Below are 14,170 nucleotides of genomic sequence, written 5' to 3' on the forward strand. Positions count from 1 at the left end.
CACCCTTTGGTGAGGGAGGCAGTGCTGCCTGAGGGCCATGGGGTGCCCAGCACTGGACAGAGGAAGACGCCAAAGCTCGGGTCCCGGGATGGAGGGCCCTGCGCACGCACACAGGGCCACACGGGGATGCACGTGGGGCAGAGTGCACCCGCAGGGCTGGGGAACGGGCTCGTGCGGCTGGGGAGCAGGCTCGTAGTGACCGGAGGGCATAGTGACTGGAGGGCGGGGCGCCCTGGTTCCCTCGGGAGGATGTGAGTGGCTTCTTGGATAATTCTGCAGGTGGGTGGGACTGAAACCCACCACCCTGGGATGAGTGGGAAGTGCACCTGTTCCCCATGAGGAGGGGGGTCTTTTGGGGACCTTATTCTGAGGAGCAGAGTTGGGAGGGAAGCATTTGGCCGGGCCACTAGAGGTTCCCTGGTTCTACCAGGCGTCAAGACAGCAGGGAAGACTGGGTGTTAACTTCAGGCCTCACACCGTGTAGGAACTCCATCAACAAGAAATAGAGGTTCTAATTGGGTTTCCATAGAGTGAACTGAATCTCTACACACCTCTGTGGGGACTTAGAACAGGTTCTGATAAAGCATCGCTTTCTCACTGGCAGCTGTGAAGTCCTAGCTATGTGGGAAGTGGTGTTAGGACCATTTAATGATCGCTGAGTCTTGTTAGAAGGATGAAGCGGCCGTCCTCACATGGGTGCCCTTGTGTCCTGTGTGCACAAAAGCATCGGGGCCGAGGAGGCCACGCTGTGTCTGCAGAGCTGGGTCCGCGCGTGTTGCTGTCCGGCTCCCAGGAACCCGTCCACCCACGAGTTCCCCCCTTGACAGGAGAGGCAGAAGCACAGGGGGCTGAGGGGACCGGTCCTGGGTGGGGTCACAAGAGACTCGCAGCTCCTGGTCTCAGAGGACTGGCTCTGCACCCTTTTTCTTTTAAAAGTGGCCCTCTGAAAATATTTATTTGTAATTCTGTAAACATAATTACATCTCCATTAAGAACCTGAAACATTCCAAATGCTGGCAGTGTCCTTTTCACCACGATTCCCAGGCCTGGTTTATCTTCCCCTCCCCTGAGAACCCCGCTGCCCTCCCTCCCACGGCTGTCCTTCCAGATTTCCCCTCGTGTTTAGATTTGCACCCATTGGAAAGCTCTGGGTGTGCGAGTTTCTTTTTACACACACACGACGGCATCACGCTGCCAGTGTGGTTCTGAGCCGCAGCGGCGCTCTGGGAGACTTCCTTCCAGCACACAGAGCTACTTCATTAAAGGACAAAAATGAAACCGAAACCCGAAGAGCACGCCCGCCTCGCGCCGTATTCCACCGCGTGGCTGCGCCGCGGTTCGTGTGGCTGGTCCCTGCGGGGCCGCTCTGTTACCGATGTTCAGGCTTCGCCCTCTTGTTCCTCGTGCGTGGTGCTCGGGAGCGCCTTCTCCGCAGGCCGTGGTGCGCGTGCCGGTGGGTTTCTGCGGCGTGTGCCACGCAGTGGTGTTGCAGCGCCAGGAGCGGATCCGAATGCGAATGGCTGCTGTCCAGGGGGCCTCCAGGCAGGCACACGCCTCCCACACCACCCGCGGGCGCATTGGGCATGCCGAAATCCGGGAGAGCGTGGATGAGCCTGGCCCTCGTCCCCCAGTCCCCAGGGCAGCCCGCAGGACCTGTGGGTCTCCAGGTCGCGGCCGTCATGTGGGCTGAGCCCTCCGTCCAGCACTGCTTCATGTGGACGCCGTAGGCGGGACAGTGTTCGGGAGGCAGGGATCTCGTCTTCTCCCGAAACCTGGTGCCATCATGTTGGTCTCTGGGCATCAGCCCCAGGCAGGGAGGGCGACAGGAGGATCCTGAAACTCTGTTCACAAGGGGCTCCAGGAGGAGAAGAGCGGGGCAGCCTCTGTCAGCGCACGCCCGGGAGCTGCGGCAGGGCAGTGCTGTACAGGGACCCCCCCCCACCCCCGCCTCCCTGCCCGGGCACATCCGGCCCACAGGCCAGCCTCGCTCAGCACACGGCTGTACCTGGATCACGCCCATGCCCACCGGGTTCCTTCTTACAACAGCTGAGAGGGATGTGGGGATTTACAGTTGGGGAAACTGAGGCTCAGGGAAGTCACCATGCTGCCCAAATCCACAGCGGAGTTGGGATTAGAGTTGAGTCTCATTCCGAAGATCATGCTTTCTCCTTGGGGGACAAAGCACCACAGCTGCCGGCACCAGGCGGCCAGCGAGGGAGCTGCCCTGCGGTCCTCAGGGCGGGCACAGGCTGAGATGTGACCAAGGTGATAGCGCCCGTCCTGGTCAGTGCTCCCTGCCTTGTCCATATCCTTCCTGGTCAGTGCTCCCTGCCTTGTCCATATCCTTCCTGGTGGTGCTCCCGCCCTGGTTGGTGCTCCCTCCCTGGTCAGTGTCCTCCCTGGGGAGTGCTCCCTCCTTGCTCAGTGTCCTCCCTGGTGAGTGTCCTCCCTGGTCAGTGTCCTCCCTGGTCAGCACTTCTCCCAGGTCAGTGTCCTTCCCGGTCAGCGTCCTCCCTGGTCAATGCTCCCTCCCAGGTCAGTGTCCTCCCTGGTCAGTGCTCCCTCTCTGCTCGGTGTCCTCCCTGGTCAGTGTCCTTCCTGGTCAATGCTCCCTCCCTGGTCAGTGCTCCCTCCCTGGTCAGTGTCCTCCCTGGTCAGTGCTCCTCCCTGGTCAGTGTCCTCCTGGTCAGTGCTCCCTCCCTGGTCAATGCTCCCTCCCTGGTCAGTGCTCCCTCCCTGGTCAGTGTCCTCCCTGGTCAGTGCTCCCTCCCTGGTCAGTGTCCTCCCTGGTCAGTGCTCCTCCCTGGTCAGTGTCCTCCCTGGTCAGGGTCCTCCCTGGTCAGCGCTCCCTCCCTGGTCAGTGTCCTCTCTCCCTGGTCAGTGTCCTCCCTGGTCAGCGCTCCCTCCCTGGTCAGTGTCCTCCCTGGTCAGTGCCCCCTCCCTGGTCAATGCTCCCTCCCTGATCAGTGCCCCCTCCCTGGCCAGTGTCCTCCCTGGTGAGTGCTCCCTCCCTGGTCAGTGTCCTCCCTGGTCAGTGCCCCCTCCCTGGGCAGTGTCCTCCCTGGTCAGTGCTCCCTCCCTGGTCAGTGTCCTCCCTGGTCAGTGCCCCCTCCCTGGGCAGTGTCCTCCCTGGTGAGTGCTCCCTCCCTGGTCAGTGCCCCCTCCCTGGGCAGTGTCCTCCCTGGTCAGTGCTCCCTCCCTGGTCAGTGTCCTCCCTGGTCAGTGTCCTCCCTGGGCAGTGTCCTCCCTGGTGAGTGCTCCCTCCCTGGTCAGTGTCCTCCCTGGTCAGTGTCCTCCCTGGTCAGTGCTCCCTCCCTGGTCAATGCTCCCTCCCTGGCCAGTGTCCTCCCTGGTGAGTGCTCCCTCCCTGGTCAGTGTCCTCCCTGGTCAATGCTCCCTCCCTGGTCAGCGCTCCCTCCCTGGTCAGTGTCCTCCCTGGTGAGTGCTCCCTCTCTAGTCAGTGTCCTCCCTGGTCAGTGTCCTCCCTCGTCAATGCTCCTCCCTGGTCAGTGCTCCCTCCCTGGTCACTGCTCCCTCTTTAGTCAGTGGCCTCCCTGGTCAGTGTCCCCCCTAATCAGTGTTCCTTTCCTGGTCAGTGTCTTCCCTGGTTTGTCTCTAAGGCAGGGAGGACGGAGCCCATTGAGGGCAGGGGCGAGTCCTGTGAAGATCTCCAGCCCTGGGTGTGGCCAGTCTCTGTCCTTGTGTGCTGGCCTGGAGGAGGGGAGTCAGGTGATCCACGGCGAGGAGACATTGTGGTTTGGAGACTGCTCCGGTGTCCTCCGCACCTGGAGCCTGGACAATGGGGGGACAGCTCTGAAGGGCAGATGGGTGGGAGCATTCCAGGAGCAGGCAGCCCCGGGCCCCCTTTTGCACCCCTTCCGCAGCCATCCAGGGAGCCCCCTGTCGGGAGGAGAGGGGCAGATACAGAGTCAGGTCAGCAGCCTGGTGAGAGGAGCCATAGAGGCAGTGACATAATGTGCAATGTGAGGACAGTTGCACCGCCCTGTGAGCTCACGTGGGGACACTTCCTCTGCCGGGCTGGGGCTGGGACTCTCCTCCATGGCTGTGACCGTTCCAGACAAGAGTTAGCCAGCCATTGTCAGTGCCAGGGACGTCACGACTGTGCGTGGCTCTGGGGGTTGGGTGAAGCCATAAATTCCCCACCTCAGCATTTCTTGGAAGACGTGGGTCAGTGGGAGGAGGCTTGGCTCAGCGTAAAGACATCATCACCAACAGCCACCCCCAAAGAATGACAGCCCTGCTGATGGCCTGCTTCTCCCTCAAGTAAGGGTCTGAGATGAACATCTGATACTTGCAGAACCAGGCCCTGTGGACCTGGCCCCCACTTTCAGCCCCTTCTCCTCCAAGCCCAGGATGGGGCTCTGCCAGTCATCTCCACATCCCATGTCACAGGGGTGAGATGGGGGTGGCAGAGGCAGAGTGTCGGCTCCCCTGAAGGGGGTTGGGGGCTTCACATGTGCTCTTGACCTCTCACCAGCTGGACTTGCTGGTGGTCAAAGGCCCTTCAACCCTGAAACAGGGAGAGCAGATGCTTGTCGGTCACAGAGCTCTCTCTGGCCCTGCCCCAGCACTGGGGCTTATGCACACAGTGTGCTGAGTGGAAGGCTGAGGGCGCAGGGTCAGCCGGGGCCAGCAGTGCTTCTGACACTGTGAATCCAGCAGCGGACGGCACGGTGGGTGGGCAGCCCCGCACCATCTGTGAGTCTCGCACTCCCCAGGGAGCACGTTTCCTTTCACACATCCTGCAGCTGGCCAGGAGTGCACCTATGTCTGTCGTGGAGAGCTGGAAGCAGCCGCCCATCCTCGGGTGTCTTCCTGCACCCCCGCTGCTACAGCTGTGGGGCGGCCCAGATGTGCAGAGGGGCCTGCCCATCTTTCCCGGGTTTGAGCCCACAGCCTACGGGAAGCGCTGAGATGGGTGTGTGCATGTGGGGCGTGGCCACCGAGGGAGTCTCTGGTGATCCGGGGCTCCATGGATTTGCGGGGCGGACGGCCCAGCCAGGCACCCTCCCAGCTGACGTGCAGATCAGTAATTTCTTCCACAATGATAATAGGTTGTCGATCCAGTAGCTTTTTATAGTTCACAGAAATACTCTTGTGTTCTGAGAAACCAGTCTTCATTTGTGGGCAGGGCAGGGATAATTTTCAGATGCTGGCGTGGCCCTCCTGTGCACCACGGGGCTACACCCACATTCCAGGAGCCAGGTCCCTCCTGAAGGGCTGGGCGGCAGGGCCTGCTGTCTCCCCTCTCCGAGACTGTGCAGGGAAAGGGCCTCCAGCTGGTGGGGAAGAAGCCTGCTTAGCTTCCTGACACTCAGGGCAAGAGGAGGGGTCTGAGAAGGAAGAAAGAAAGGAAGCACAAGGAGAATGGGTTTTAAGGGATGGGAGAGAGAGAGAGAGGGTGAGAATGGGTTTTAAGGGATGGGAGAGAGGGCGAGGCCAAAGGCCGAGGAAGGGAGTTTGGAAAAGCGGATGATACTTCATATGCTGTACGTCACGAGCACTCTGGAGCTGGACCCTCAGGCTCAGGTGCCTGCTCCTTTGTGGATTAGCTGTGTGACTGTGACCGAGTCCCTGGGGTCTCTGGTCTCAGCTTCCTGCCTTATCAGGCGGGGCCTTGGATACTGTCTGAGCCCAGGGCTGGCACAAGGGCTGCATGCCGCACATATGGTGGGACCTGGCCTTGGGGGGCAGGTTGTGAGCCCTGCGCTGTCAGGCATGGCCCTGATACCCGTCCTCTGCTCCTCTCACTCCCGCCCCACCTGTGTGCCTCCTGCACACTCATGCCCCATGCACTTCCTCCACTCGATGTGGAGAAACGTCTTTTCGATCTCCATGCCTACTTTTCCCTCACTCTAAGCCATTATAGCCAGAGATTCTGGACACAGAGTGTTGACTATGTCACTTCCTAATATGCCTTAGAATGCACATGTCACTGAAATAAAGTGCTCATCCGTGCACCACCCAGAGTGACCTTGTAGATCAGCAGTGACCTCATGACTTGTCTCCTGGCGAGCACTGGTTAATGGGATTGCCGGCCTCCCTGGCTGCCCCACAGGATCATAACCATGTGCTTTCAAGTGTGTGCTGCCGTCTGGGGTGCGAGCAGGGGCGGCCGTGTAGGCTGCAGAGTGAGGGCAGGTTTGGGGCCGGGCAGTGGGGCTGCCTTTAGGAATGGCTTTCCTGGAGCGGGGGAGAGCATGGGCCCAGCCGTCCAGCAGGACCAGCTGTGCCTGTGAGTGGGGTCCGTGGGGGACTCGGAGCCACTCCCAGTCAAGGTCTCTGGCTGGAGAGGGCGTCGGGGGAGACACAGCAGGAAAAGATGGGAACCGAGCATCTAAAACCTGGACAAGCAGGACAGTTGTTTGTGGCTTGCAGATGTCACCCTGGTGGTCCAGGAAGAGTCCTCTGCCTGGGCTTGGCCCTCTACCTGGGAAACTGGGCACGAATGCTTCTCTTGCATAGTGCTTGGCACATAGATTGGATACACGGGGGTCCAGGAATGCGTGCAGGAAGCTGGGAATTCAGTGTGTCCTCCTGGGCCAGCACAAACCTCATCGCCTCTTGGTGGCCTGTTACATAACACATTTTCCTGTCTCAAGTTGAAATCACCATCGTCATCGTCATCATCATCATCATCATCAATGAGATTCTCAGTCAGGACATCCGGTGCTATTCATAGCCAGGAAGTGCTGTTAGTTGGGCAGGCCAAGTACTCTGGAGTTGCTGGAACTAAAATTTGACTTGTGTTTTTCTAGCCCAAATTTCCCAAGATCACGAGCCACTCGTGTGTTGCCCTGTGTGTTAGTCTGTTCATTGCTATAAGAAATACCTGAGGCTGGGTAATTTATTTTAAAAAAAGAGGTTTAATTGCCTCACGGTTCTGCAGGGGGAACAGGAAGCATGGTGCTGACCTCTGCTCAGCTTCTGGGAAGGCCTCCGGGAGCTACAGTCATGGCAGAAGGTGGAGGGAACCAGGCACGTCTTACATGGGCAGATCAAGAGAGGTGGGGGGTGCCACACACTTTTAAGCGACCAGATCCACGAGAACGCATGATCGTGGGGACAGTGCCAAGAGGGATGGTGTTAAGCCAGCGGTCCCCAGACATTTTGGCACCAGGGACTGGTTTCGTGGAAGACAATTTTTGCACGGATGGGGTGGGGGATGGATTCGGGATGAAACTGTTCCCCCTCAGATCATCAGGCACTAGACTCTCATGAGGAGCTTGAAACCTAGATACCTCACAAGCAGAGTTCACGGTCGGTTTGCATTCCTATGAGAATCAAACGCCCGGCTGATCTGATAGGAGGGGAGCTCAGGTGGGAATGCCTGCTTGCCCACCGCTCTGTGTGCTGTGTGCCCGGTTCCTAACAGGCCACGGGCTGGTCCCGGTTCACGGCCCGGGTGTTGGGAACCCCTGTGTTAAACCATTCATGAGAACACCGCCCGCATGATCCAGTCACCTCCCAGCAGGCCCCGCCTGCAACACTGGGGATTATAGTTCAACATGAGATTTGGTGGGGACACAGATCTGAACCACGTCCTGCCTCAGACGGGCACTGTCCTGCCCAGCTGGGGGAGGAAGATGCACAAAGTCTCGCCCATGTCCCGGGGTGCTCGTGCTTGTGGGAAGTTCAGGATTATGCTGCCCCAGGAACGATTCCTTGTTTCTTTTGATTGACATCAACAATAGCCAATGGCCTGCTTCATTTTCCTTCTTTTCTGCTGTTTGATTTGAAACAGAACTTGGGTGTTTGTATTCAAATGGTAATTTTCCATCAAAATTCCTGTTTAAACAAATTGGGAATCTCAGGAACAACATATAATGTTCTGGAGGAGAAGATCCTTGAGAGAGCAGTGGATATCTGTTTTCTTTCTTTCTTTCTTTTCTTTTTTTTTTTTTTGGAGCCAAAGTCTCACTCTGTTGCCCAGGCTGGAGGGCAGTGGCGATATCTTGGCTCACTGCAACCTCCATCTCCCAGGTTCAAGCTATTCTCGTCCTTCAGCCTCCTGAGTAGCTGGGATTACAGGTGCCCGCCACCACGCCAGGCGAATTTTTTTGCATATTTAGTAGAGGCGGGGTTTTACCATGTTGACCAGGCTGGTCTCAAACTCCTGACCTCAGGCAGTCCACCTGCCTTGGCCTCCCAAAGTGCTGGGATTTCAGGTGTGAGCTACCGCGCCCAGGCGATAGCTGTTTTCCTAACACTTTCTTAGCATTTCTCTACCAGTAGGCAATTATTTAAAGAAGGAGAAAACATTCTGTTTCCAGAGTGGTGGAGAATTGAATTGAATTGAATTGAATATGAATTGAAACATACATATGGAGAGGATCAAGTTTGCTTCAAAGGATGTTTCCAAACTCGCATCTCCCTGCTCTGTGTTTCTTAATTAAATGGCTTATGTTGAGATCTCCTCCTCCTGCTTCAGAAATCACATCTTTCATAACCCTGCATGGTGAGCTCTGATCTGAAAACTTCCAGCTCCTCCTGGGGCCTGCACGGGACCCTCCTTTATTACCCCAAGAAGGTTGTCCTGGAGAGAAGGGCTTGCAGGAGCCGAGCTAAGGGGAGGCTGCTGCTGCTCCACAAATTGGAAAAGCTCTGCCTGGGAACACTGGGCTGTGCGAGCCACTCCCGGGGCTCATTTTCTCTGAGATGAGAACCCCTGCACCGAGTCCCACCCTGGTCAGGGCCGTGTCCTGAGGCTGGCGTGGGTGGGCACCTGCTGGCTTCCTGCTGTTTCACTCCGACCTTGTGCCCACATCACCATCACTTCTCGTCTTCTCACCTGTTCCCGAACTCAGTCCCCAAAGCGAGCTCTTCTTCTATAGCTGGAACATTCAGGGCAAGAGCTCTGTTCTTCCTGAGGGCTCTTGCTTCACATTCACTGAGGAATTAAAAGGTGCTTCCAGGGCTCTCCTGGAGGTCTGCAACCAGGCATCTGCCTCCGCCAGGGCTGGCACGGTCTGCTTTATTCAGGAGCAGTCGGGGGGGCATAAAATGCACGGATTGGCTTAGACCTAGGGAATGGGGAGTGGTCTTTGTGGGGGAGGAATGAGAGGCTCACTAGAGTGAAATTAAATTAGGGTTAAATGGACAGAAGTGTGAGTAGCTTCTGAGTAGCCAAAACAACCCACCTCTAGGACTCCATTTCTTCCTGTTGGCCTCATGGCATTGACTCCAAGAGGATGCTGTGGTTTCATGAGCCCCTGAGGAGCCGTAGGTAGCTCTGGAGGGGTGAGGACCCTGGAGAGGGCAGGTGGGAGCATCTGCCACTAGACCTGCTGAAGGCCAGCCAGTCCCACATCTCTGCTTGTGGAGAACACGACACTGTCTGCCAGGTGCATTCAAGAGCTGGGTCCCAAGGCACCTCAGCCCCAGTTTATAGCACAGAATATGTCCATGGCTGTTTTTCTGCCTGATCCAGAAAACATGAGCTCCCTCTGCCATACAGTGGGGCCAAATGATCCTTTCTGCACAGGCCTGGGCCTTTCTCGGTCAGATCGGGGCACTGGGACCTCCCAAGTCACTCCTGGTGGCATGCTGGTTTCTAAAGCATAATTTACAGTCCTTCTGGTAGCTCTTTCTCTGACAGTGCCCACAGAGTCACTGTGATGACGGAGTGCAGGCTGGTGATGGCCTGGGCCCTCTGCTGTCTGCTTCCACTTCCCTGCCCCGTTCCTGTGCTGTGAACATTTGCACCCTGCTTTCTTCACGTGCATGTGCTGTGGCATGTTGTCAATGTTTTATTTTCTTGGAAACCCGTCTTCATTCGATCAAGGCTGCTTAATTCTGCTGAAGTGCTCTGCTAAATCAGGAAAATGTGTATCTTTTAAGTAAAGGGTTTTCTGTAGAAGCAAACATAGTGATTTAGAGAGGACCTGACATGATTTTTGTGGCCTGAGAATGACAGGTGATCATTTCAGAAGTAATCGGCCATCACCCCACAGTAACCCCATAAACAGGGCTGTTTTTAAGAATTTTAGACTTTCCATAACATCAGTCAAAGTCAATGAACCAGAATGGTGCTAATCAACATGGATAAATCTCAAGAAAGTAAACCCAAAGACAAACATCCAAAGTGGGAGGGCGGTAGTGTGCTGCGACAACCCCACCACTGACTCAGCCGTTACTCTACTGATGGTTATTCATGTCGTTTACTTAGGGGGTGTGCTTGGGAATGGGGTCACATGGTGAGAAACACTTCAGTTTTGCTGATTTTTGCCAAATTTCTGTCCAGAGCAGCACCGATAGCCCACCAGTGTAGTAGACGTAAAGTCTTGCCACCCTCACTGGTGTGAAACAGGATCTCACTGAAGATGTAATTTGCATTTCCCTGATTACCTGTGAGTGTGAGCATCTCTCACCTGGTTATAGCCCGTCCCATTTACTGTCTCCCTCCCAGTTTCTGCTTCCCCTCACCTTGGGTTTTAACCCCTCACCACAAGAACCCAAACCTGTATCAGAGTCCCCAGGCCTAGAGCTGCTTCACCTGCACAGTTACAAACAATAAAAAAAACAAAAACACACTTACTGAGGTGTAACTGGCAAAAAAATAAATGCACATGTGTAAAGTGTTCAAAGCATTTACCCATAAAACCATCACCATGGTGAAGACGATGAACGTGTGTGTCACCCCGAAAGTTCCCTGGGTCCCCTTTGTAATCCCTGTCCCCTCCCTGTTCCTTCCCACCTCCCTCCCCTGTCCCAAGGCAACCGCTAATACTTGTTCTTTCGCCATAGATTAATCTGCATTTTCTAGAACTTTTGTATGATGGAATTGTATAGTATGTACTCTTTTCTGGCCTGGCGTTTTCCACTCAGCATTATTGTTTTGCTAAGCCATTAGTGTCAAGCTAAGTCCAGTTTTGCTTACTGGACTAGCGAGCCAAGACCCTTCTGTGCGCTCCACCCAGTGCCCTAGAAGTTCCAAGGTTTCCAGGCCGGCAGGTGTGGACTCAGGCTATTCCTGGCCCTGTGTGAGCTCCAGTTCGGTTCCCTGTAATCCATTGGGTGGTTCTTTCCCTGTTCTGGGCGCTTCCTTCCTGCATGTGCCAGTCTCTGCTGCGCTGAGAACTCGAGGGGCCCTCCACTCCATGCAGCTCTCTCCTCTCCGGTCACTGGTCTTGGATATCTGAGCACCAGGGTCTCTGCCGGGTCTTGCCTAGGTTCCCCTCGCTGCTGCAGCGTCTGGGAACTGTCTCAAGGCTGAGCTCCGGGGCAGTTATAGAGCTCGCTTCTGCGCTGTTTCCTGTCCCTCATGCACCCCTCCCCTTCATTGCCTGATGGATGTCCAGTGCTGTGAAAGGCACAAATTCACAAACTCACCTTAGGTTTCAGTTGGTGCCAACGGGCGGTGAGTCCGGTCTTGTTACACTGTCTTGGGCACAAGTCTCGACTGAGCTTGTTACTTTATGTTTCTATCCTGTTTCTGGTGCATGGAAATTTTATTTAAGTTTTGAACTTGGCCATATCTTTTTAGTTTGGAAAGTTAGATTTTAAGAAATACGCTTAATTTGTGGAGGGAAAAATTATGGAAGATTTTGAAATAGACCAAAAAGATTGCTGAATGCGTTTCATGGGAAGTGGGTGTTATCTGGGTTACCTGATTCTCGGGAGTCTGTGCTCCCTACCATGTCCCTGAGCCACCTCACAACCCTGTGAGTGACAGGGTGCCCACGGATTCACGTGATCCTTGGCCATTGACATGTAGGTCTCGTCTGGTTGATTCAGTTGATTCTTCTCCCTGGACATCAAGTTCTGCCAGTTTTGTGTCTATTAAGCACACTGACTTCAGCGTTCGGGATGGGCTCATGTACATATGGTTCTTTGAATTTCCCTTTGAAGTGACGGTCACATCTCACAGGTTCCCTTGCCCATTAACACGTTAAATAATATCTTTGATGTGTGTTCATTTTATCTCTGTATGAGAGTCACGATTTACCTTGTTAAAAGTTATCCTTTAATATGTGGGGGAGAATTTCAAGGGGAAGGCTTTCTATGTTGTTGACTTCAGAGTTCTTGTGCGTTTGTGTGCTCCAGGCCTGGGAAAACCTGGTTTAAACTGTTTCATTTGTGAACTTACAAAGTAGCATAGCAAACAAGGGAAACTGTGAGACAAAGCAGACGAACAGAAATATGAACGAGCACAGACTCTGGGGACAGCCACAGAGCTTCACAGAGCATATCTCTCCTTAGACGGTTCTAGAAGCAAACTGTGGGCTGTCAGATTCCCCCATTCTTTTCTAAGTAAAACCACTCATCTTTCATGGAAAATAACATCATTTTTGATGTGGCATATCAGAGGGCTCAAGACCACAAACATGACCGGTTATTATTAACAGCCACAGAGCTAGGCTGTAAAATAGATCAGAATTTTACAAACTTTGAAACCCACACCATTATTTTCACAGGAGTGAGGATTACACCCCTGGGAGCTCCTGATATGGTCCCCTGGGGGCAAACCTATGATGGAAATTTTCCCATCATCTGAAATCTTCTACCCTGAAGGAATATATTGAGAGTCCTGTTTTGTAGATTGTGTTATGAAAATATTATTTTTTTCCTCTTGGTTGAGGATCACTGATATGCATAGAGGCAGTGTTAACTTGTTCTGATCGTAAACGCTTTTTCAGACACACATTAGAGGTTGTACTTTAGTTTACAATCCAGGAGGAAAGTTTGCCGGCTATAGGGGAAAATCCCAAGTTGCGGCATTGGAAACAGGAACCAGTGAGAATGATCAATGCAAGGACCACTGCCCATTCTTTTGATCTTTATAAAGAATGTTCTCCTAAAGCTCAGGTCTAGCCACACTGGGGCCCTGACTCTGTCAAAATTCGGGGACAAGAGGCCAAGGTGGAGGGTTCCTCTGGGAAACATGGAGCCCATCATTGCTGAGGCTGTATTTTAAGCTAGGCTTCTCTTTTCTTCCTCTGATACTGTGCTATATCACAGCACCGATAACATTAACATGAAGTTGTGGAGAACTTGGCAAAATTCTAACCAAGTGTCTGGAGAAAAATAATTTATAACATGAATATTCCATGAGCAAGAGGCATCTGAGAAGAAAAATAGTCTGGAAAGAGACCTAGAGGCAGAGCCAGCACCTTTGATGTGGGTGGACCATGGAACCTGACACAGGGCGGAAGACCCCGTGGGGATAATCACTTCCCCTGGTTCTAGCGTGGACCACACAAGAGATCCTTGTGTTGGAAAGAGAAAACAAAGCACACGCTTCTGGATGCAAGCAGGTGTTAATACAGCTTCCAGGGCCCTAGGACGACGAAGGAAGCCATGTCCCTGGGGAGAACTGAAGACACCCATGTCCCAGGAGCCAGTTGTGGAGGCGTTGATTGTGCCGTGGGTCTTGGACTCACGTGTGTTGACATTCGACAAATAGATGAGATTTAGGATGCTGGGAAGGAGGGGGAGGATAATTACTAATTATGGTAGCATTGTCCACAATGATTAGAGTAACGGGATAAAATTTAGAGAGATGATTTTGTGGCAACGACTTGGGTGTAATTTTTGAAGTGGAGGAAATTGTTGCAGGAAATAATCACAGGCTACCCCCGCTGTGATAAACAGGTTTGAAGAACTGCACGGAACGCTGCCTGGCGAGCGCCTGCTGGTGTTTGAGAGAAGCTCTGTGCTTCACCCCTGAAGCTGGGTTGGATGGCATCAGTGGTTCCTAATGTGTTGAGACACGCCGCGGACCAGAGAATGCTTGGAAGGGGAACGGTGGAGAAAAGGGGCCAGATGGCAGCGGAGCCGAGTCTGCGCTGCTGTGGCCGTTTCCTAGGGCCACCGTGACAAATGGCTAGTGGCTTTAAACAGCAGAAAGCCGTTCTCCTGCAGCTCTTGAGTCCACGAGTCTGAGACAAAGGCGTTGGCAGAGCTAGTTCGTTCTGGAGGCTCAGCGGGAACGTCCACCCCTGCCTGTCTCCTAGTAGTCCTGGCCTGCGGCAGCCAACTCCAGTCTCTGCCCCGTCTCCCCACGGCCTCCTCTTCCGTGTGTCATTGTCCTTTCCCGCAGTGTACGAGGACACTCAGATGGGACTGAGGGCTCGTCCCCATCTAGCACAGTCTCATCTTCAACGTTACATTAATGACATCTGCAAGGACCCCATTTCCAAATAGGGTC

At 54.3% G+C, this 14,170-nt stretch overlaps 1 protein-coding gene across 16 annotated transcripts in view, besides 2 other annotated features; it reads left to right on the forward strand.

The window, feature by feature from the left end:
- ADGRD1 (adhesion G protein-coupled receptor D1) overlaps window positions 1–14,170 on the forward strand; it is a 187,563-nt gene that overhangs the window by 89,668 nt on the left and 83,725 nt on the right. The gene's annotated exons all lie outside the window — the stretch shown is intronic.
- Window positions 4,281–4,785: an enhancer, noted in NCBI's record as "H3K4me1 hESC enhancer chr12:131532400-131532904 (GRCh37/hg19 assembly coordinates)". NCBI's record gives its function as "activates a minimal SCP1, AML or CMV promoter by ChIP-STARR-seq in naive H9 embryonic stem cells {active_cell/tissue: H9 hESC(naive)}" and the evidence as "EXISTENCE:reporter gene assay evidence [ECO:0000049][PMID:30033119]".
- Window positions 13,946–14,115: a silencer, noted in NCBI's record as "fragment chr12:131542065-131542234 (GRCh37/hg19 assembly coordinates)". NCBI's record gives its function as "represses an EF-1alpha promoter that drives an FKBP-Casp9 reporter gene in an ReSE screen in phorbol 12-myristate 13-acetate-treated (for megakaryocytic differentiation) K562 erythroleukemia cells {active_cell/tissue: K562(+PMA)}" and the evidence as "EXISTENCE:reporter gene assay evidence [ECO:0000049][PMID:32094911]".

This window comes from Homo sapiens, chromosome 12 (assembly GCF_000001405.40).
Source record: "Homo sapiens chromosome 12, GRCh38.p14 Primary Assembly".
NCBI lineage: Eukaryota > Metazoa > Chordata > Mammalia > Primates > Hominidae > Homo > Homo sapiens.